The sequence below is a fragment of the Homo sapiens genome, chromosome 1 (assembly GCF_000001405.40).
Source record: "Homo sapiens chromosome 1, GRCh38.p14 Primary Assembly".
NCBI lineage: Eukaryota > Metazoa > Chordata > Mammalia > Primates > Hominidae > Homo > Homo sapiens.
The window spans coordinates 217,718,976-217,744,129 of record NC_000001.11 but is presented as its reverse complement, the minus strand read 5'-3'; the positions used below and the strand labels follow the sequence as shown (position 1 = coordinate 217,744,129).

The following is a 25,154-nucleotide window of genomic DNA, read 5'->3' as shown; positions in this document are numbered from 1 at the left end:
AATGAAATTAGTTAAAGAAATAATGCATAGAAAGTCTCTATAATACTGTTTGGCACATGGTAAGCACTCCATAGATATTTGCTGTCAGATTATTTTTATCAGTAAAAAAAACTGAGTCTTCATGGACTTTCTAAATCATTTCACTAGATACTCAGTATCTCAACAACCTTGAAAAAAACAGAATTAACAAATGTTCAGTTAAATATGATTTCACTATTTTAGGCCAGGCATGGTGGCTCACACCTGTAATCCCAGCACTTTGGGAGGCCCAGGCGGGGGGATCACTTGAGGTCAGGAGATCAAGACCAGCCTGACCAACACGGTGAAACCTCATCTCTATTAAAATACAAAAATTAGCCTGGCATGGTGGTGGATGCCTGTAATCTCAGCTACTCTGGAGGCTGAGGCAGGAGAATTGCTTGAACCCAGGAGGTGTAGGTTGCAGTGAGCCAAGATCACGCCACTGTACTCCAGCCTGGGCAACAGGGTGAGACTCTTTTTTGCTCCCTCTTAAAAAAAAAAAGAATGATTTCACTATTTTAAAAATTGCTTTCTGTATTACAATACCCATCATAAGTATACATAGCACAACTAGAACTCATATTAAGAAAGATTCAGAGTATAAAGATGGTTCAGAGTTATTAAAATTAACAACTGTATTGTAAAAAATAAAATATCAGATTTAAAGAAATAAGGATATTAATAGTACTCAGTTTAATGAAAGTTGAAATTACTAATAACTAAAGTTAAAAATTTTCTGCTAAAAGGAATTTTTGATTTGAAATTCTATATAAAAATGTAGCACCTCAATTATACAACTAAAATTTTACTACTATAGATTTTATAATGAAAAGTTAAAATATTTTGACTTTTAATTTTTAAAAGTATCTTTTAATTATTGCCTAAGTATTTAAAGTCTAGAGACCTCAGAGTGCCGAGTGCCATATCTATTTCTACTAGCTTTGTATCTGTAACTTAGCTACGTAACACCTCTGAGTTTGTTTCCTTACCTGTCAAATGAAGATAACTCAGCTACACAAATCCAAGTAAATATGAAGATAGTCACCATGATTAAAAAGTATTGGTATTTAGACTACCAAGCACAGGCTAGAGATGCGGGAGATCTACACTCCAAATGTAGACGGCCAGCCCAGGATTTAATATATATATATATATATATTTTAATTTGGATGCCTCTAAGGATGACATTTGGTCTTGGGGCCCACCCTTCACCACTGGGACTTGACTTGCCCCTACCTGGAGACATTCAACTATGTGACTCTGGCCAGAACTACAACACTGAACTTGAAGGTCTATGAGAAAAAAATAAAAACCCGGAAATTGCTAGTTTCCTGACTAGATCCCCAGTAACAAAACATATCTCACTCCCCAAACTCATGCTTTTTTAAAACCGTATTTCTTTTTGAGACTATTCCACATGACATGTATTCTTTCCTAGTAACCAGGACAAAATCCAGGGTATTGACATTTTAGCAAGCATTGTAAAATAAATGTCTAAGTATTCCAAATTTCGTGCTTATACTTCTATAAGAAGATGTAATTCCTGAAGCAATTTTGTTAAAAGCTTTACCTGAAAACTTCCATCAAAATTTAGAAACGGTTGAAAAATGGTTTTAATCTCAACGTTAGCTCAATTAAAAGAGAAAACATGAAAGCAACCTCAGCCTAATAACTTGTTAGTTCTTGATCAATTCACAACACAACAATAAGCCACTCAGAATGAGTTTTGAAAGCGAGGTTATGCCCTTCGAGTTGTGTTATCACCGTGGCAGATCACACTGCTGACTTGGACCTTTCTGCCAGCATCGCAGCGGCTGCCTCTATGAAGCCGCTGTCACAGACGAGTCATGGTGCCTGCGCGCACCTACACAGAAGCACGAAATTGAACTCGAAGTAGTGTCTTTGTGATATCTTTTCAACAAGTCATGTCCCATTCAGCCTGCTAGTTTATCTTTGTCAGGCTAGGGGCCCAAGTGGCTTACAGGAGCTGTCAGGGACAGGTAAACCAACCTGCTTTGTGCTGAGGAGGTAATGCATCTTTCGGGCTTGGTAATCTCTTTTCTTCTCTTCCCTTTCGAGGTTAGCCTTCTTCTCTTCTCTTTCTTTCATTTCTGCAAACTCCTCCAGTGCCTTCCTGCATCAAAACCATCTGCAGTTATTTATGATACTATGTGTTAACATTTTAATTCTTTCACTGATGATAAATCAGTTTTTTTGAGGGGCAACCATCATCCATATCCATCCAAATCAGTGGTGTAATCTATCTTACCTGCATTTTCTACATGAATCTTTGCAATATTTAGAAAGCATTTATGTGACTTTTCAGTGATTAAGTTTTTGAGATCAAATGAGTATATTTATAATTAATTCAAAGCTGAGAAAATACATCAAATGCAAAGTAAGTGTCTTACTAAATTATCAGGGTATTTTTGCTTTAAGATTAACTTTTTTGGACATACTTAAATATCCCAAGAAAGCATCTGTGCTACTGTTTTCCCTTACATTTTGGGTTTGTATTTTCAAATCTCTAATCATTTATTTTGCCTACTAACTAATGGCCTAATTTTTAAAATGTGACAGGTTTTATACATACACTTAATTTATTGTAGGTTTACTTCAGTTGACACTTCAAATAATACCAATAAGATTACATATATTATCTTGCACTTCAAAGGTTGACATTTTGTCCAATTACACAGATAATTCGAATAAAAGCTAAATTAGGTGAGAAAGTGCAAGTCTTTTCTAAGTATAATAAATTCTATTAAAATAATGAAACTTTTCATTATTTATGTGTATCTAAGAAATATAAACAAAAAATAAGCTTTTAAGTATACTATGTGAAAACATCTGCTAAACAGATTATGATATCAAATATGGAGAAAAATCCTTTATTTTCAAGGAAAAATTTAACTATTTGTGTTAAAATAATGTTTTGAAATTGTACTATACTTTTTTAAAAAAGTAGGTAAGTAACTTAGTGTCTAGTTCTGTAAGTAAAGTTTTAAATAAATCATCTGAGCATTTTTCTCAAAGGTATCTGAGGAAAGCAGAGGAAAAAAATTCAAAAAATAAAAGATTCTCCTTTCTACTTCAATGTCTAGAAATATTTTTGTTGCAATTTTCTGTTAAAGGCCACTAATACAATACTTCATACAAGGTTACTTATGAAACACACTGACGTTTAAAAATCACCAAGCTATGCTATTGCAGCTGAGCAATTTTTTTCAACGTAAGATTAAATTGCAAAATAAATGAATTACTTGGAGTGGCATGGCCCCCATTTTGCCACCTTCTCTTGAAAATTGCTTATTAATATGAAAAAAGGAGTCAGAAAATAGCCTGTTTTACTTTATGCATAGTATTTTGGGGGCTTCTGCGCCCACAGAGCCAGGCTAGCTGCACATTTAGATTGTGTTGGCAAGCTGGTACAATGACCTCTCTGACCTGCATCTCAAGGCTATTATTAATCGCTAAGTAACCTGGTAAAGCCAAACAAATTTGTTTCCATTGAAAGGATCTCTATCTGTGTCTGAGAATTTGTTCTGTACCAAACAAACCTCATTAACTGTGTCCATTTTTGACAAAGAACCAGGAGTTAGAGGGATTGGTGACCTTTCTTTGTCCTTAAAGTACAAATTTCAAGGCAGTTACATATGACTAAATAAGAACTTTTGCTGGGAAAAATAACAATCACATGTTACATTAAAAAGCAAATACATTATTAATTTTAATCTTTACTATTGATATTATGAAAAAAATAAAAATTAACCAGAGAACTACCACTATAAAGATAATTACTCAGAAATGCATGTATCCAATTTCATATTATGCTAAATATAAGTACAGTAATTTTCTAAGCAATCATAAAAATAAAAAATCTATAAAGAAGTTTCTGCTCTATAAATAATTTAATAAATATGAAAAGGTCTTATATAAGAAGAAAGGCCTAATATAATTGAAAACATATATGAACGGGTAAGGTACAAAGATGTACATAGAACTTGGATACAAAATCAAAAGTGTAAGTTATTTTAAGTAGTAAAAACAGTTCATCTTCAGAATATGGAAATGTAAAATAAAAACAGTATGTATACAGTGGCATGGCACAGTGAACAAAAACTGCGAGATAATGGAAAAGAAAGTTACTTTCCAGCATATAAAGAAAACACTTAGGAAACACTCAAGTGTGTAATCTCAAAACACAAAAGTAGTTAATTTAATAAATTCATCCAATTATTGAAAAAAGTCAATTCTTAGGTTCCAAATTGATTTCTTGTAATATTTGAGTGTGTGTGGATATACTGAACAAGACAGTAATATTTATGTCAAACATTCTTTGTTAAATGATGAAGTAGGAATTGCTAAATAAATTATTCTTGATATATACATTTTTGTTATAGCAGTAGGGTGAAGATATTTCTCAGTGTGCAGGATGCAATAAAAATTATGATCTCATTAAAAATAAAAGGATGGAAACCATTCTAACTAGGATTCCCTACAAAATTATAAAAATTACCTATATTTTTAATCTGGAGATTTTTTCAATGCAGTACTTCCAAGACATTTAGATAGGTTGTTTTTCTGATTTTACATTTCAGATGTATTTTCTCATTTCTATCCTCAAAAAAAAATCCTGTGATATATATGGCATAGCTTTTACTAATTACTCTATTTTGCAAATACAGAAACACATAAAGAGATTAAATGACCTACTGTGATTAACAAATAAGTTAATGGCAGAAATGGAATTAGAATCTCTGTGTTTGCATATTTTCTAACTCCAGACCAGGCTGTCATCTTCCTGACACAAGAAATATTATGCCAAATATATTTTTATTAAATTAGCCATGCATATTTCCTTTATCTTATAATCCTGTCTTCTACCATATAAAGAAACTTGAATAAGTTCCAAGACTCTCTGCCCTGTTTTCATATCTATAAAACATTTTCTGATATAGTTTTAAAATAAAGATAAAAATTACTGAAACTTTTGCAAAGCTTTACATATTTGAATGTATTTTGCCAATGATATTCATAGGGATAATAAAGTATTTACATATTCTAATAATGATAGCAATAATAATAATAGCCACAATATAGTGGAGTGATTAAGAGCATAGACTCTGTTTTTGTTTTGTTTTATTTTGTCTTTTTGAGATTGAGTCTTGCTCTGTCACCCACGCTGGAGTGCAGTGGCACAATCTCAGCTCACTGCAACCTCTGCCTCCTGGGTTCAAGCAATTCTCCTGCCTCAACCTCCCAAGTAGCTGGGATTATAGGCACATGCCACCACGCCCAGCTAATTTTTGTATTTTTAGTAGAGATAGTGTTTCGCCATGTTGGCCAGGCTGGTCTCAAACTCCTGACCTCAGGTAATCCACCAGCCTTGGCTTCCCCAAGTGTTGGGATTGCAGGCGTGAGCCATCGCACCCGGCCAAGAGCATAGACTCTCAAATGGCACCTGGTTATAACAGCTCTGCTGTGCTCCTTACTAGCTGTTTACCCTCTGGGCTGCAATATCCTCATTTGTAAAATGTAAATATATTAATATTAGTATCTTTTCCATTAAACTATTGTGAGGATGAGATAAGTTAATCAATGTAAAGTACTCAAAATAGTGGCTGGTACACAGTAAGGCGCTATGTAAGTGTTAGCTATTTATTGAACATTTACTATGAGCCAAGTATTAGGCTACATGCTTTATCTACTCAACTGGATATGCTTTCTCTAATTCCCTTGGTGGTCTCCTCCTTTCTCTCTCTGGATGAGAGTGCACTTTGTGGAATGAAATTACACAATATAGAGCATGGAATATGAGTTCCTAAGAGGCATGGGGTAAACCCTGATAACTGGAAAATAGGAGACAGAAAAGAACCATGCAAATAAATTTCTCCTTTCCCTGTCCTCCACCTACTACTCTGAGGGGTGGTTTCTCCTTGCAAACCTGAAGACAACCTGTGTGGCTAAAGACAGCAAGCATGGCCAGGTGCAGTGGCTCACGCCTATAATCCCAGCACTTTGGGAGGCCAAGGCGGGTGGATCACCTGAGGTCACGAGTTCAAGATCAGCCTGGCTAACGTAGTGAAATCCCATCTCTACTAAAAATACAAAAAATTAGCCTGGTGTGGTGGTGTGCACCTGTAATCCCAGCTACTCAGGAGGCTCAGGCAGGAGAATCGCTTGAACCTGGGAGGCGGAGGTTGCAGTGAGCCGGATCGCACCACTGCACTCCAGGCTGGGTGACAGAGCGAGACTCTATCTCAAAAAAAAAAAAAAAAGACAACAAGCATATCTGCTGAACTATGTTGCATCACTATGGGGCTCTTTGTGAAGCAGTGGCCAGGACTGCAGGAGCTCATAATGCCTCATTCCTCCCTACAGAACCAAACCCAAAGTTCCAGCTGCCAGGAGTGCTGTCTGCTGACTGTTCATAACTATATCTCACTGGAGAAAATCAGCTGCCCTGCCCCAGGTAGGTTTTGTTATCCTGCCCCCAGCCTGGATTCAATCAATGACGGGATTGACAGAGTATATAGGCCCAGAGCCTTTGTCTCAGTTTGGGACCAATATAAAGGGCCATCCAAACAGCAGAGCTGAGACCTCCTGGTACAATTCAACTTCTCTCTCAACCTCCCTCCTCCCTTCCCTTAAAGATGTTGCTCCCCAATAAATCTCATGCACCAAATCACTGTCTGAGAGTTGTTTCCATCTATGACACTTCCATCTATGACCCCCTTTTCTAACCATCATTGAGCTGGTATTGAGCCACCCAAAGTATCAGCACTTTAATCCTCTATTTATGTTCTGCTTTCAAGAGGTTCCTGGCTAAGACATAGATATCATCTCATTTAATACTTTCATAGTCCTGTGGGGCAGATATTATTACACTCAGTTAACAGATGAGGAAATGATACTCACAGAGATTAAATCTCTGCCCAAACTCCTACATCCAGAAAGTGACAGAGTTAGAATTTGAATCTGGGTTTGACTCCAAAATCTTTGCCTTTAACCACAATACTATACTCATGTTGCCTAAATTCAGTATTGTATTTAGCTATCAATAGGACTTTTTTTTCTGAAGAGGTAGCTTTGTATTACATATATTAGTTTTCCAAAGCACGCAAATGGAAGAAGCTGCTCTGTTTTAGAATGATTTCAATGAACTGTCACTACTCTTTCATCACCAGATCGTAAGATCATAACCAGGTAGCTCTGTGTGGCCATGAAATACACAGACCTTTGCATTTGCCACCACAAATGTCTTATTTTCCTTAAAATATGTTTTCCATTTGCTATTTTCTGAGCAAGTAAATAATTCTAATGTACAACATTAATGTATAAAAGAGACTGAAGCTGAAAGATGCTTAGAAGCTATTTGGCACAATACAACTAACACACAATACAAACCTACAAGGCCTTTCAGCATTGGTCCCTGCTTCTCTCTCCCTCTCACTTCATGTTGCTCTCTCCCAGGATCACTATGCTTCAGTCACAATGGCTGTATTTCATTTCCTAGCAAACCATTTATTTCTACCTCAAGATCTTCACTTAAATTGTATTTACTTTCTGATGTGGATTTCCTCTACAGCAACCTGAATTCTCCTTTTACTGTTCTTTTCACTCATAAACATCATAATGTTGTTTTTCTTCCGTATAACTTAATAAAATTTACAATCATACATTTATGGATATATTTGTTTAATATATGTCTTCCCTACTAGACTGCAAACTGTAAAAATAAAGAGTATGTCTATGTTGCCCATGTCTATTTGAATGAATAAGCAAACATTTTGAAAAGACTACTGTCTCCATATAAGTGTGTAGGTTTATGTCTATGAATGATGATAAGAACTAGAGAGAAGTGACTGCAAAAACAAGTATATAATCCTGCTCAATCCCGAGCCCAAATGAAAGGTAATGATTACTTCCTATCATGTAATAATTCATGTTTTCTTGCATTGCAGATTTTCTTTTCCTTGTTACATTTTTTCTTTTTAAACTGTTTCTTGATTTTGTCTAATGTCTGTACCAAAGGAGAAAAATAATATATTTCTATAAAATATTTTTGAGGAAAAAGAGCACTCTGCTCAAAATTATATTATTTCCACAAGTGATATAAGATAAAAAATCTAAACTCATAATCCTAATAAATATATTAATATATAATATGTATGTTATGTAACATATAAATGACTCAATTATATACAGTTCAATATTTGCTCAGTATACTCATTAAATGCTTTGTTCACCATAATAAAAATTATTAATAAGATGGTCACATTCTTTTTGCTTTTCTTGTTCATTTCAAACTATAATACTAAAAACAGAATCTTTATAATTTTTATAGTCTCTTCTTTTTAAGTCAAGAACAAAAAACACAAAACCTCCATCGTTTCCTGTAAGAAGGCTTCATAGATCCCCTCAACAAAAATTAATCTTTAGTTGCTCCCACTGTAATACTGATTATGAATCCTTTATTTCTCTTTAATATGTCCATTACCTTCTGCAACACATTATAGTTGTAGGTATGCATGCATGACTTGCTAACTCTCCCTCCTGAATGCTAAGGTCCTGCTATAGGCTGAATATTCGAGTTCCCCCAAATTCACATGTTGAAGCCTAAATCCTAAATGTGATGGCATTTGGAGGTGGGGCCTTTGGGAGGTAATTCAATTATGGAGGTGGATCCCCCATTGAATGGGATTAGTGCCATGGGATTTAAAACAGACATGAGAAAGATGCTCTCCCTCTGTGAGGACACAAGGAGAAGTTAACTGCCTGCAAACAAAGAAGAGTGCCCTTACCAGATGGATATGTTGGCACCTGTCTTGGATTTTCCAGTCTCCAGAACTGTGAGAAACAAATTTCTCTTGTTTAGTCACTCTCTGGAATTCTGCTACAGCAGCCCAAACTGACTAAGACCGGTCCTGAAGGTCAAGAATAATGTTTATTCATTGATGTGCCCCTCCCAAAACACTTGGTGTAATACCTAGTACGAACTTGGTGCCAGCATCCTCTTTAACTATTTCTCAGTTGACTAGTATATTTCATCACTCCTGATGGTTTAATTAGGAGAGAGAAGAAACTACATTGTGAAAGTCCTCTGTTGGGAAGCGGGGGTAGAACCAGAACTCCAGCTCTTTGCCTAGGTTAGTGGGTCTCAAAGTGTGGTCCCTGGACCAGCAGCATCAACTTCACTTTGGAACTAATAAAAATGCACTTTCTCAGACCCCACCTCAGACTGGCTTAATTAAACATTCTGGAGGTGGAACCCTGAGGTGGTCTATGATATACTACAAAGAAGACACAATATGTACTTCACAATAATTCCACAAAAATCATAATTTTGACAAAGAAACAAATAATTACATCCAGACTGCGTTAAAAACACAAATTCCTAAAGCTGCAGAGTCAACTGCTAATAAAAAATACTACATAGATTTCTTAAATAAAAACAAAATGCCATCATCTGCACCATCTTTAAGAAAAAATAAAATTCTAACGAAATGGATTTAAACAACTTTTTACTGTCCTTATTCTGTTTTCATGGCAAGTAAAGTCAGTGTGTGCTTCTGTTGTAAGATGCCTTCAAAATAAAAACAGTCATGGGTGTGGTGGCACACACCTGTAATACCAGCTATTCCGGAGGCTGAGGCAGGAGCTTCACTTGCACCCAGGAGCTCAAGACAAGCCTGAGCAACATAGTAAGACCCTGTCTCCAAAAAATTAAACAAATTAAAATAGTCAAATGGCATTAGTTTCTGCTGTGGTGTATTTGGCATAAAAGTGTTTTAGTTAAATTTATTGAATGTATTTACATTTCATCTCTAACAATTGTCTGCTCTGAATATGTTCACATTAATTTAACCAAATAAGTAAGCCATAAAAGAAAAAAGAGAATGCTAAGTCTAAAATACAATAAAAATACTAACCATAAAAAAGTCATTTAAATGCTAGGATTCTGGGTTTGACATTTAAAAATATTTTGTGAGTGATAAAACCATGGAATAGATTATCTGGAAGTTATTAAGATACCTAAAATATTCCCATTAGAAACAAAATTTAAGTCAGTCAAACAACTTACACCACTTACTTTATCTACCTTATTTTGCTACTGGTTACCTACTCCCCGGATCTGTATGACAGGTGTTGCAAATTCCATTAGGGCAGCCCTTCACAAAGGGAAAATACGTTTAAAATGAAATATTCTGTAGCACATAGTCATTAACTCAAGCACTCAGGTTGCGCCTGAGTTTCACACCTTATTCTGAAATATAGAGTTGAAACTTTAACATTTTAAAAACATTCAGAAAGGTCCTCTCATTAAAAAATGAAAGGAAAATGTTTAGTTACAAAATCTTTTGTTGCAGTATAGAAGAGTTTCTCTTCAAAAATATCTAAGCTATTTTAAGAGTTAATATCATGTAGAGAATTAACACTCATTTGTTTATTCAAGCAGGTATTCACAAATATGTTTAAGATATTTAGAGAAATAAAGACGTTTAAACCGTAGTACTTGCCTTCAAGTAGGTTACAAACAAAATAGCTGATAATTTATCAGAATGTAGAAAATAAGTCAGTGAAAAAAATACATACGTAGTGCTTAAGTTCAGGGGGCTCACTTCTGATTAGATGGATCAGAAAAGGTTTCATGGAGGTGATGGTATTGGAGTTGGGAACTGAACAACGAGCAAGTTTTCACTAAGTAGAGAGAGCAGGGATACAGAGGAGCAGTGTTGAAATAAGACTGGATCATTCACTAGAAACTCTTGCTCTCTTCGGTAGGCTTTGACCATCAACAGCAAAGGACAGAAATGCACTTTTGAGAAGAAAGGTTTCCTGGCCACACATAAATGGGCTCTCTAAGAGTAATGCTAGTAAATTTATTCTCTATAGACAAGACAGTTTGAGAATGAAAAAAGTATAAAAGATGATAATGGTCAATGTTATAAAATTACAATACCATGACTTTAGTATGATCATACAAAGGGATTGTCCAATTGCTCTATTATTTCATTTACCTGCTTTGCATGATTATAAAAAGCAATAAGACTCCATTCAAAGATCATTCATGAAAATCATTTTTTTTTCTGCTTCTGGCATTTTTGAATCAACTTGGTTGAAAAGAATTTTTGTATAGTATTCTTTCTAAAAATATGCACATATTTCACAGTAAAATTATTTTCTTTTTATCATCTAGAGAGTTGCTGTAAAAGGAAGTAAAATTTTATATATGCGTGATGTCAAATAATTAATAATGACATAACTACAATAATAGCAATAATAATAAAATATATTTATATGGTACATTATTTTCAGGGCTCCAAATGCTTTCAGATATTAATTCAGCCTCACAACATTCTACTAAGGTTGGTAGGGGGCAGATATTATTAACAAGGTCTCTGTTCATCTTTGTGAAATAAAATGACTTTACAGATTGTGACTTTGAGACACAGCATGGGGGCTTTCCTGCATAAAGATAGATGAAGGCATATCATATTCTCTCCATTGCCCATCTTCACAGTGATTCAGCTGTGGAGGAGGAGGATCAACCCACTAAATTTATGTTTTGGGTAGAGTTCAGAATTGAGGTAGCTACAGTTCCCATTTCATATAAAAAGAGTTTCATGATCTTGTTTATTTTGTGTTTACTCAAACATCACACATTGTCTCTCATTTAAAATGTGTTAACCTCACTTTAAAGCAAAAATAATTGCTGCTGCTTTTGCATGCAATCCACTAAACACAGACAAGGGACATCTCTCAACTAATCTTGAGGCTAACATAAAGCAGTAATAACATACCATAGGATGATGTCAACATATTTTAAAGCAGTATGCTACATGTAGTTTCAGAAATTATCTAATGAGTTTTGGGAAACTATTTATTGAGCAATTCTTTTACAGCTGATCTTGGAAATCATTTTTATATGAATGCCACAGGGAATGCCATCCCATTTATTGTTGGATAAGAAACTATTACAAAATAGTGGTGAGACAGAGAGAGAGAGAGAGAGAGAGAAACTGGAGTAATTTTCTTTCTCCATTCTTTTCATTGTCAACTCCAAGAGGGGAAAAGGATAGATTTAGAAGGAAAGGAAATGGAAAAAGCTGTCAAGCATTACAAAGGGGTAATTAAAAAGTGATTTAAAAATAAATGATTCTTTATCAATTTGCTTTTTTTGTAGTAGGTTATCACTACACAATTTCCTATTTATCCTAAAATTTCAGTTTATTTAGGTATACATATGTTCTATGAATTCCCATTCTATGCTAATATTATATCTAAAATACATGTTAACATTCTTATCCAAAGATTCACATTTTTTAGTATTAAAACTGTTAAACAATATGATTCAAGTGTTCATTTTGGGTTTGCTTAATTCTTATGCCAAGAATATACTCTAAAATGTAATCCCAGTGTTTATATTTCACATGTTTCTAGAACCTCTAGGTCATCTTTTACTATGGGATAATGAAAAGGAAGGAAATAAACAGATTATGGTGATCAGATTTATATTTCAGAAAGATCATTAAGGCAGCAGTAGGGAGAACAGACTTATGAGGAGAGCTAGGAAAAGAATTGATAGGGCTTGGCCACCAATAAAGAGAAGAATTTTTAGAATGAAAATCTCATGTTCCTGGCTTGGGTGCCTACATGAAGAATGGTTCAATTTACCATAGAAAGAGGAAGAGGTTTGGGGAAATAATTTTATCTAAACATGCTCAGCTTGAGATGTTGGTGGGATGTCCAAGTGGCAATGATAGCAGGCATTTGAATAGATGGTTAAAACAATCAAGATAGAGGTCTCGGTGGAAGAATACTTGGAGTTATGAATCATCACACAAGTGCTAGCAGAAGTCACAGAAGTGAAAGTGATCATCTATAGAGTGTACAATGAAAAGGTAAATGCATCGAGGAGGGTACACTACACTAATATTTAAGGTCAAATAGAGTACACAAGGAATGCAGAGAAGAAACCATTAGAAATGGAGAAAGGAAACCAAGAGAAAGTGGTATCAGAGAATTAAATTATAAGAGAAGAGAAGAAAGTGGTTTACAGTGCCTTTATGCTTCAAAGAGATAAAATAAGATGAAGGCCAAAATAGTCCACAGGACAGTATTACATATAAATGACTTTTAGCACTAATAACATTTTCTCAATAGAGTTTCATAATAATGTAAACATATCATAAAATGTGACTAAAAAGTTTACATATTATTAATATATCAAGCATCTGCATCTGAGATAAATCTACTCAAAATCGGCAATATGAAAAATAGCATTCTCAATCCCTATCACAGAGTTTTTTTAAAAAAAGAAACTTTCTTTTATCGTCTATCAAAAAATCAGGTAAGAGAAGTGAGAGATAAGAACTTCCAAGTCCATCCGTTCCTCAAAGCTGGACAACCGTAAGGCTAAGTCCATGGACTAACACTATTTTAGTCTTTTACTTTCAAATGAGTAATATTTTAGTACATTCCCCAGGAATTTTTTTTTCCTCTAAAGATCACTACAAAAAAGAAGGATTTGAAATTCAGACTGCTTTTTTGTATTTGAAAACAAACAAACAAACAAAAACTTGGCTGGGCGTGGTGGCTCACATCTGTAATCCCAGCACTTTGGGAGGCCAAGGTGTATAGATAGATCACTTGAGGTCAGGAGTTCGAGATCAGCATGGCCAACATGGTGAAACCCTGTCTCTACTAAAAATACAAAACTAAGCCAGGTGTGGTGGTGCGTGCCTGTAATCCCAGGTACTCTGAGGCTGAGGCAGGAGAATTGCTGGAACCCGGGAGACAGAGGTTGCAGTGAGCCGAGATCACGCCATTGCACTGTAGCCTTGGCGACAGAGTGAGACTCCATCTCAAAAAAAAAAAAAAAATCACTTTACTGAAGACATTGTTCATTGCTTTACTTAGTGTCTCCTACTGAGGACTTATATGTAAAATTTCTTTCAGGATCAGTGCTAGAAAAAACTGTTTCTTGGCATATGCAGTAATGTTTCTCCATTTTGTTAATGGGACATACTTAACTAATCATCTTCCCTGATCAATTATACCATTAGCATCATCATATCTATATTTTCCTTTACTGTGGTCCCCATGTCCTTTGTAAACTGCTTGAAATTCATTGTGGAAAGAGTTAAATTGAAATACCCACATAATGAGCTTTTTCCTTTTGTTAATTCCTTCTTGGGACTGAAGCATTTTTTCCTTTCTGTGTATTTTGTTTTTAAATATTTTGAAATGCCAAATTGTAAAAGGTAGTACATTCTTGTTAAAATATAGCATGTGAAAAGACTGTGATCAAATAGTTAATATCATTCCATATTTTAAAGTGATTACATGGATTATGTCATTAACTAGTAATTATGAATAAATGGCAGACTGTTTTTAAGGCAAAGAATATATTCTACATTTTATGTTGGACACCCTGGCTTGTGTTATTATATAATTTCTACCAAATTAATTACTATAATTATTGTATCTTGATATATAAAATGATTCTACAGAAAATAAGCTACACTTACAGTTAACATTACAGACTAATTTGTTTCTTGAAAACTGAAATGTTGTTTTCTTTAACTCTTTGGGATAGACTTTACTATAAAAGAACCTGTCATCAACATAAAATTAGATAAAGCTAAAATGCTATCATTTACTTGGCTGAGATCGTAATATTATGTTTTTAAAATGAGGTTTACTGAAATGTTATCTTGAGGTAATCATATTTACTCTCCTTATTTACACAATATCTATGGTGCTCTACTCATGTCCTTGAAATAGGGAACAGGGACACCATAGTATGAAAAAGTGGCCTCCCTGCTGGAGTTCATAAATTTTGTTCAGCTTTGGATGAATTCAAAGAATTGCCATGTAAGAAAAGCCTTACAGAGGGAATTTATCTGATTATGGCAGTAATAATTACCCAGCTGTTTACTGCAGATAGAGAAATAATTCATGTAGGCAATAGGCCGTGGTGGCAATGACACTCCGCATTTAGTAAATATGCAAACTGTTCACTTCTAATTAACCAAGCTAGAGGATGCCCTTATTAAATGTATAAACTAAAAGTGCCTTCCTGACAAGTGATGAATTGTTACAATGCACAAACTCTTGCCACAGAATTATTGGAGTGAACTTGGGGCTTAACTTCATTAAGAGATCTTGTGGGATAGTTAAATGAGGATGGACAGCATAACAAGGCTTACCTGACAGCCAATGATATGTTAGAGCTTAATGGAACTGCACCTTTTCTTCTGTCCTACTTAACTGTTCAGATTCACAATAGATAAATCGTGAAACTGCAAAGTTAATTTGAGTTTGAATAATAAAAATAAATGAAATAACATGACAGCCCACTTAGGGAAGCTACCTGACAGTTTACCTATTTATTGAATGAACCTACAAAACAGCCAGTTTTTTTAATGATTCAAATATCTTTCGCATATCAAAAACTGAAAATATGCCACTCTTTAAAATAATTAGTTTAACAAAAATCGTCCTGTGGAATAGCTTTAAAATGAAATACATTTCAAAAAGCAAACAAATGAGTTTTATCAAAGAAAACATAAAAAAATTAATCTTAATATTGGCTCTGAGTTTCACTTGATTTTTAGCAAACAATCAACGATGAAATAGCTCTGTTTTTATTTTATGCTTAACCTTACATTGAGATAACTATTCATTCTTTATCAAACATCTATACTAATATTTGTATAACAATTAAGAAACAGGTAATGTCTATTTTACAAATTTGTTGTGAAAATTGAATGAGATAATAAAGGGCTTAGCACCATGCTTGGTATACCATAAGTGCTCAAAATATGTTAGCAATTTTAATGTGTTTGAATGACATTAGCTCTATTTGATTAAAATATTATTTCCTATTGTTTTATCAGAATATATTTTATTTCATAGTATTATTTCTTCCATTACCTCTGTAGTAACTAAATAAATAAGTTTTAAAAACTAAACTTCTAGTATGTTTCCAGTACTGTTCTTTTATTTCTTATAAGTTGAATTTACAAAATGCAAGACAGTATTAGATAGCCTTCCAACACAGGTACTTTGTAAATGATTTGGTACTGATAATCAAAATGTTAAGATGATTTTAAAATGTACTCCAGGCAACTAGTCAACCCAAAACAGAGCTCACAAAAAGTTAAAGTAACTACATGTATTAACATTTAAACAACTTTATGACATATTTTTGCAGATGGAAAAAGTGAGGTGCAGAGATAGTAAGTAACTTGACTAAGGATACGAAACTATTCATTGGTGTAGGTGAGATTCATGCTGAGGTCTATTGAGACTCTAAGCTTGCCTTTTCATCCTTATTACCCAGACTTTGAGACTATAAAATGTGTGAACTGGCATTTTAGATAATGCCAGAATATTACTGAAAATGTTTGCTTAATTATCCACTTACTATACAACATGAGAGGAAAAATATGTAAAAGAATATTATACATTTTAAGAGAATCAGACTCTTTAACTATTCAAATATTCCTCCAAATTTAGAATAGATAACTTCATTATTGAAGATTTATGTACTAAAAAATAATACATAGCCCCTGCTTTCAAAAATTTATGCAATCATACATTTACAACATACAATCTTATTTTCAATGAACACTATGCATCAAGAACTGTAATGAGTAGGGAAATTGTCAGTTATATATTAATACTGATGATCTTCAAAATAGAAGATAAAACTTCCATATCTCAATGAGAGAATGCAAAAATGAAGGGCCCAAATAAAATAGTTTTAATTGAGAGGAGCCATGTATAAGAATAACAGTTTTTTGTTGTTATTATTATTATTATTATTATTATTATTATTATTATTATTGAGACGGAGTTTTGCTCTTGTTGCCCAGGCTGGAGTGCAATGGCGCGATCTCCGCTGACGGCAACCTCCGCCTCCCGGGTTCGAGCGATTCTCCTGCCTCAGCCTCCCGAGTAGCTGGGATTACAGGCATATGCCACCATGCTTGGCTAACTTTGTATTTTTAGTAGAGATGGGGTTTCTCCATGTTGGTCAGGTTGGTCTCTAACTCCTGACCTCAGGTGATCCGCCCGCCTCAGCCTCCCAAAGTGCTGGGATTACAGGCGTAAGCCACCGCTCCCCGACAGTAGTTTTTTTTTAAGGCTTTAAATGCATGCATAAATTTAAAACAACTTAAGTTTCACAACTTGAAGAAAGAGTAAGACCAAGCAAAAGTAAAGATGATACTCCATTTAAGGAAAGCATAATAATAATAGCCAATATTTATTGAGTGGTTATTGTAGTAATAATGTGTGGATTTCTAGGAAAGACAATGAATATGTGCTCTTTTGCCTATAACCCTTTTCTAAAAGCAGCCAAAATGAAAAAAAAAACACACAAAAATATGGGAAAACAAGGGAAATACGCATGAAAACAAGGAACAGTCACAACCCCCATCATAAACTCAGGAGAATAACTGGAAGCTGAATGAATGAAGAATATCTGCCAGGTTCAATTTAATTTAAAGCCCAAGTACACTGTATCTTCCTTAATCACAAAATCAGTGTAGTATATGGGCAAGTTCAATACTGAACAAGTTTGACGGCCCTAGTGAGAACCCCAGCCAAGAGGGTTTATAAAGACTTGGGGATAAAAGGGATGCAGGACTGAAGAGAGAATTTGCAGCCAAGCAATTTCCCTTTTTATTGATCAGAACTTCTGATTGGGTTGACAACTGATGGCAAATTGGACTGGAGGAGAATGAGGAAAAGTAGCTTGAGAGCTTTTGAATAAGGTCAACTGATGAAACAAAAGCCAGTTTATGAGCAGTAGAACTTCACACTAATCCCACTTCATGAAATCAATATCCACAGTGACAGGCGGTCAAACAGGACTTGGGAGGATAGTGACAAAAGCACAGCTGCCCATTTCTCCAATTTATTCTTCATCCCTCATCAGATGGTTGAATGACTGAGCAAGAAAACAAGCCATCAATATCCAGCCTTCTAGCAGAGTACAAGAATTTTTAGACAATTAGAGATTTTGGTAAGGTATAACATTACTCCAACAAAATATATTACTTTCCTGTATATAAACAATAATCACTTGGACAATGAAAGAAAATATATCATTAACAAATACAACAGAAAAATACAATATTTCTAGAAATAAAATTAACAAATAAAAATACAGCCTATATTAAGACAATCATAAAAATTTACTGATGAACATTTTTTAAATTCCCACACAAATAAGGAGACATTCCTTTACAAGAAGATTAAAATTATGAAAATACAACTTTTTCCTACACTATAAGTTTAATTTAAACTATTTAAAAACATAATCTGGGGCTGGGCGTAGTGGCTCACACCTATAATCCTAGCACTTTGGGAGGCTGAGACGGGCCGATCACTTGAGGTCAGGAGTTTGAGACCAGCCTGGCCAACATGGCAAAACTCTGTCTCTACTAAAAATACAAAAATTAGCCAGGTGTGGTGGTGCAGGCCCGTAATACCAGCTACTCAGGAGGCTGGGGGACCAGACTTCCTTGAGCCCAGGAGGCAGAGGTTGCAGTGAGCTGAGATCTTGCCACTGCATTCTAGCCTGAGTGACAGAGCAAGACTCTATCTCTAAAAATAAATAAATTAATTAAAATAAAAACACAATTTGGTATTTTTGAAACATGTCAAAATGCTTCAAAATTTAGTTGGATAGAGAATTTTAAAAATAAGCCACAATATTTTTTGGAAAAAAAAGTATTTTATAGCTATTTAAGCCATGTGATACTATGTAGGATTACAAAGAAAGAGAAGAATCAGACAGCACAGGTTGACAAGAAATATACTTGAGAACATGTGGGCACTTAGTATATGATAAGATGGCACTTACAGTAAGAGATGAAGCAATAATTTAATAAATGCTTTGGAATAACTTGTTGGTCATTAAAAATTTTTTAGGCCAAATTTCAAATGCACTCCTTGTATTAAATAGATTCCAGAGAGATTCAATATTCAGTGTGACAAAAGTAACTCTAAAATATCAAAAGAAAATATGGATGACTATTCTTAAAATCATGCAAAGAAGAAATTATAAAAGAAATTATTGGTAAATATAACCATATAAAGAACTGAAAGGCCAACATGTTTCAGAATCTCCATAAATATGTTTGCAAGTCAAATGCAAACAAGGAAAGATAATTTCAGCACAGATGATAAAGGATTTGTTTCCTTAACATATATAGGGCTTTTTACAAGTGCACAGGGAAAAAAAATAAACTAATTAGGCAAACAGAACAAATATAAACAGGAAAGTCATTACAGAATACAAATGGCTACTAAAGATATTCAAATTAATAAAATTCAAAAATTAAATTAAAAATTACAATTGTTCTTTATTAGATTAGAAATTATTAACAAAAGTATAAAGAAACAGGAATTTTTGTGCACTGTTGGTAGAAGTACAAATTGATATTTTTCTTATGAAAATTAGACAATTTATTTTTATTTTTATTTATTTATTTTTTTGAGACAGAGTCTCACTCTGTTGCCCAGACTGGAGTGCAGTAGCACAATCTCAGCTCACTGCAACCTCCACTGCCTGGGTTCAGGTGATTCTCCTGCCTCAGCCTCCTGAGTAGCTGGGACTACAGGCATGTGCCACCAAGCCTGGCTAATTTTTGTATTCTTAGTAGAGACGGGGTTTCACCATGTTGGCCAAGCTGGTCTCCAACTCCTGACCTCACCTGATCCACCCACCTCGGCCTCCCAAAAGGCCGAGCCACCACACCCGGCTGACAATATGTTTTAAAATATAAGATATGTTTAAACTTTTACCCAAAACCTCATTTATAGAATTATACAGAAAAGAAGATAACAGTATAAATGCAAATAATTTCTTGCAGATTAATGATATATTAAATGTCCATTAATATAGATAGAACTTATTTAGATACAAGTTATGGCACAAACACCATGGACATACATGTATACTATAGGCACTGAAAATTTTGACATGAAATTTATATGTATTGACATAGAAAATGTAACTTGTCATGGTGGATAAATAATTCCTTCACTCCTGTTTCCTTTCCATGTGGAGGAATGTATAACAGCTAGAAAAGCAGTTTAATTTGATTGGAGGTTAGCTCCGCCCATGTCCCTTCAGAGGACAGGGGTGGCAGCAGACATGCTGAGCTTGGCAGGACCAGAGGCTAATGCAGAGAGGAAGTGTCTGCTTAGTACTGTGGTGATTGCCTGGGAAAATCTATCTAACTCCTGTTATGCAGTATTTGAAAAGCCCGTTATCTGCACATATACTGTATTCCATATTACTAGCTTTAGCAATCATACATGTGATTTTTTGGTCTCTCGTCTGCCCTATTGTTTTGTCTTATTTCCCCATTGGCCTAGATCACAGTTAGGGAAGAATGAGATTTATTAGATAGACTTCCTCAGACCCATTTAGTTCTAAATCAAACAATAATTGTTTGCTTGAGTTCCCACTATGTTTCAAGTACTGTGGTAGGTGCTAGGAGTATAGTGATTTATGAGGAAGGATGGGCAATATGAAAATAACTCCAAAAATTTTACAATGGGATAAATTCAGCGGAGGAAAATTACGGAGAATTACGGAAGTATACAAAAGAAAGATTTAATCTATTTATAGGTTGGGTGGGATGATTGGGGGTTAGGAAAGATTTCTCTGAAGAGGTGAAATTTAAGAGGATATCTGAAGGATAGAAACAAATCTTTTATGGGCCCCCGACTTTGGGAAAGAAACTTCATATGGCTTCACAAAGGGGACCCAACACATGTATTCATGGTATGCATTTCAGCTCACCGAGGAAGTGATCCCAATCCTTTTACTTTTCAGGCTCACTGTAGACCCTTTCATAAGATAAATTGGAATGGTCTCAGTTGATATTTGCTGGCAGGAAAGAATATTAAACACTATAAACGGTAACTCAACATGAATTTGAAGTATTACATGGACTGTGGACTGGAGTTCTGGCCTCAACACCAGGTTTACGGGAGAGGGCTGATGCTAATACGTCCTGGGTCTATATGTGGAAGATTCTCTGGGCCTCCCTACTCCAGACTAAGTCCCTCTTGACCCCATGGACCCAGCCATTCTGACACAGTGTCATCTTTAGGAAAAATGAATGGTACATGAGTGTGCGCAATGACTGGTAACCTCAGAGGCCAGAGTGGAGTGCCAGTATGGCATTGGCAATAATCCAGAACACCAGAGGGACTTCCTCAGCAGGAAAAAAAAAAGTCACGATACCTTGCAGACCAAAGATCAATGGAGATAGTGGGGTAGTGATTAAAACAATGGGCCAGTAGACAGTTTGGAATTACCAGTTTTCTTTCTTTCTGTCTGACAAATGAAGTCCTGAAAGCAGAAGTGGCTAAATAAGTTCCAGAGTCCTTAGACAATTTAAGAGAAGAAAAATTAATTGGAAAAAGATTTATTCTTTGAAGACTTTAAAAATGCTCATTCAAATATACATAGTAAGACAATATACACACACTCACAAAAACACATATTAAAGGTTATTCTCTAAAAGTGCTTGTCTGGTATGATTTTGAAAGAGGTTTTATGTTATTTTACTTGTAAAATGTTTGCTATTTGTATTTTTATTAATTTTCTATATGTTTTAAAGTTTTTATAATATTGTATTATTTTTATCAAAAAAGTTACAGAAAATAATGTGGAGCCGATATAAATAAGTTTCCTAAATATATTTAATAAAATTTTTACTAATTTTTTATTACCTGCAGGATGGCTAATGTTAAATATTACTACTTCAACATGCAAGTTGTTCTTTTTTCCAAAACCATTGCCAATTTGTTTGAATAATGTCACTGAGAAGATGGTAGGAATGGAAAATTCTGGTAGAAAGCATGCTAAAGTCTGTGTAACAGGTACATATTTTAAGTACCCCTCATTTATTTTTCTTTATCAGAAAGTCATTTTCTCTCCCTGCACTACATCTAATTATAGCCACTGGGAGAACAGGTCCTACCATGGAATGAGAAATAGAAGGGATGGAAGAGGAGCTGGAAAAAGTAAAAAGGGTGACAATCCTGCCTCTTCCAACCCCAAGGGACTGTGGAAGGCAGAAGAGAGGGCAGGAGAAGGATCATAATGCATCATCCTGTGCCCTGGACCTGTCAACTCCAGGCCACGTCTTAGAAGCAGAGAGGAATGTTTGGTAGTTTGAGAGGAATGCCAAAGATGGGTGTGTTCCTACCTACTTGGGTTGCTGGGAGAATATCATTTGTATAAGACAGCCTTGAGACAATAAGGGATGGTTCCAGCACAGTAAAGAGTATCAAACAGTGAGGTCAGGTAGAAGGAGTTTAGTACTCTCATGTTTTTCTTGCCTCCCATATCATCTAGAAGGACCAAAGTTCAAACATATCCTTTAAGGGATAAGCCAGATCAAAAGTAAGAGCCAAGGATTGAATCATGAGAACGGCTATGGCAAAAATATAAACAACCTTGAATCAAAGTCTGCAGGGTAACCAACCTTGTGCGAGGAGTCATTTGGAGCACATGGAAGACCTCAGAGATACCGGCAGAGAAAGAAAGAGATGACACAGGGCCTAGTGAGCTAAGGAAAGCCACCAGACCCAAATTAAGTTGACAGTGCTTACATCAAATGCAAGTCTTAGCAGCAGATGCCAGCAGAACTCCTAGGGACAAGAATGATCAATGACATCGCAGCAGACACCAGCCACTGTTACCTACATATAAGTCAGGGTTCCCTTTTAAGCCTTAGAGCCACCAGTAACATAAGCCCCCTCTACATTCATAGGTCATCTTAGAGAGGATCATGGAGAACTCAAGGAATTATGAAAAAGATCCACTTATTTAAAAGATTATCATTAATTACTGTATTAAGCCAAAGTAAATTGATATCTAGTTTTTCCCTCTCCCATGCCAGTGCCAGCAGGAGGAAATGTGATTGAAGAATATACCAAGAATATTAAAGTTAAAGGAATAAAAAGTTGTTATAGTTCATGGTACATCTGAGTGTGATGCCTTATCTATAAATATGTCATGGCTAAACTCACAATCTAGAGTGTATTAGTTTATTTAGATGAATTTTGTGAATCTGGATATATATGTCTTTCTAGTTACATATATACACACTTACACAGATTCAGTGACTATCAATAGTTCTGGCCCAAAATATCTCACAGAACTCCACAATCCAGCAGGCTGCAGCCACATCCTCTCCGCTGGAGTGTGAATCTCATCATTAATGTGTGGGGAGAGGATCCTCCAAACATTTCCTTTCTTGGGTTCTCTTCCTTAGGCCTAGAGGTGCTGACTTCTCCCAGTATTTACTATTTCTGTATTCTCTAGATTTCTCTCTTATAATATACAAATTATAATCCTGTATGTTTTTGTAAATTATGTTTATGTGTAAAAGTCTTAGCCTTTTCTTTTTTAAAAAAAATGTTTATTTATTTAGAGACAAGGCCTTACGATATTGCCCAGGTAAGACTCAAATGATCCTCCCACCTCAGCCTCCCAAGTATCTGGGACTACAGGCATGCACCACTGTGTCCAGCATTAGCCTTTAGTTATCACTGGTAAGATGACTGTTGCAGCTACAGTCATTTTGTGCATATTTCAGAAAAAAGAAAAAAAATGGAAGAAGAACTAGCAGATCTCATTGCTCAAAATGAAGTCATATTGCCATTCTTAGATAAAAGAAGTTTAGAAAAACAATAATAACATGAGTTAAGTTGCAGTGTTGGAATGAACATTGAGTGATCAAATCTATGAAATTTTCCATACTCCACCTCATTGCAGAATCAACATTTGTGTCAGTCACCAATTTTTTAGCTCTCAGTTTCAAATAATTTATTTTTTGCTATACTTGGTAAAACTGGACCTGGATCTGTAACATTTTACCTTTACTAATTTGTATAACATTAGTCTGAAAATAAAGGGTTCTGGAGGGATATGTCAACGCATGACTGGGGAAAGTGTTACCCCTTCCCTCCTCCGGTTCCAATTGTCTGCTTTCTTTCTTCAGTGGCTTGGCTATTAGCTCTATGCAGGAGAACCAGTAGTGCCTAACAGCTAGTGAGTTTTGCTCATACTCCAACAAAGGTAGGTCCTTGCTTATCGATTCCAGCCCATCTGCACCACCATGGGCAGTTTTCTGCTCATCAGGGTCAGACCACTAGCTGCAGAACAGCTCTCGCCCATGACGTCTCAGAGAACCCCACAATCCAGCAGGCTGCAGCCACATCCTCTCCATTGAAGTCTGAATTGCATTGTTTATGGGTTGGGAGAGGCTCTTCCAAACTTTTCCATTCCTTGGGTTCTCTCCCATGGGCCTAGAGGTGGTAACTTCTCCCAATATTTACTATATTTGTATTCTCTAGAGTTCCCTTTTGTTCATTTTAAAAGTTATTCATCTTGTATTACTTAATAAAGCTTCATATTATATTTTCTCAGTTCAAATTACTGGTGTGGATTTTGTCTCCTGACTAGTCCCTGACTGATACAATATCCAACAACTCTCCTTCTTTACTTAAACTTTATATGAAGTGCTTCATTCCTTTCCCAAAGAAGATGGTACCATTGTTGCATCTGTTACTGTATTTAATTTAAAGCCATGTGCAGTCCTGTCCATCAGGTTTGGGTGTAACTCTTAATTATCTGTCAACTAAATTAAAATACAAATTATCTGCCTATAACACACCAGCACTGAATGGTAGAGAAGGAATGGAATAAGAATAACCACAACAAAATGTCCACATTAGGAAAAATAGAAAATGAGAAAGAAATAGTTACTAATTCACAGCAAACAATAAATCCTGCTACACGGGTATAGTGAAAAGTTCCTGTTCAAGAGGTGTTTTCTTGGGTAGACAAACAGAATATTCCATGTCTGTTATCTTCCATGACCACATATGAGGTGGCCACTGCAGAGGACAATATTTCTGGAGAATGCATTGTTCTAGTAGCCCACTAGGGGCCTATTGGTCCAAGTTCAGTAGTTTTATGATTGCCTGAGGGCAGGTCACAGCTGGCCAAGTTGGGATTTCTTTAGTAACAGGAACTTTCAATGATATTGCAGGCTTCTGGCTTCTTTGTTCGTGGTCAG

At 35.3% G+C, this 25,154-nt stretch overlaps 1 protein-coding gene across 3 annotated transcripts in view; it reads right to left on the bottom strand.

The window, feature by feature from the left end:
• SPATA17 (spermatogenesis associated 17) overlaps positions 1–25,154 on the bottom strand; it is a 240,353-nt gene that overhangs the window by 127,567 nt on the left and 87,632 nt on the right. For all 3 annotated transcript variants that reach the window (NM_001375655.1, NM_138796.4, XM_011509194.4), the window contains exon 6: positions 2,032–2,155. In NM_001375655.1, the coding sequence (NP_001362584.1) occupies positions 2,032–2,155 (124 nt within the window). The remainder of the gene's footprint in view (positions 1–2,031; positions 2,156–25,154) is intronic.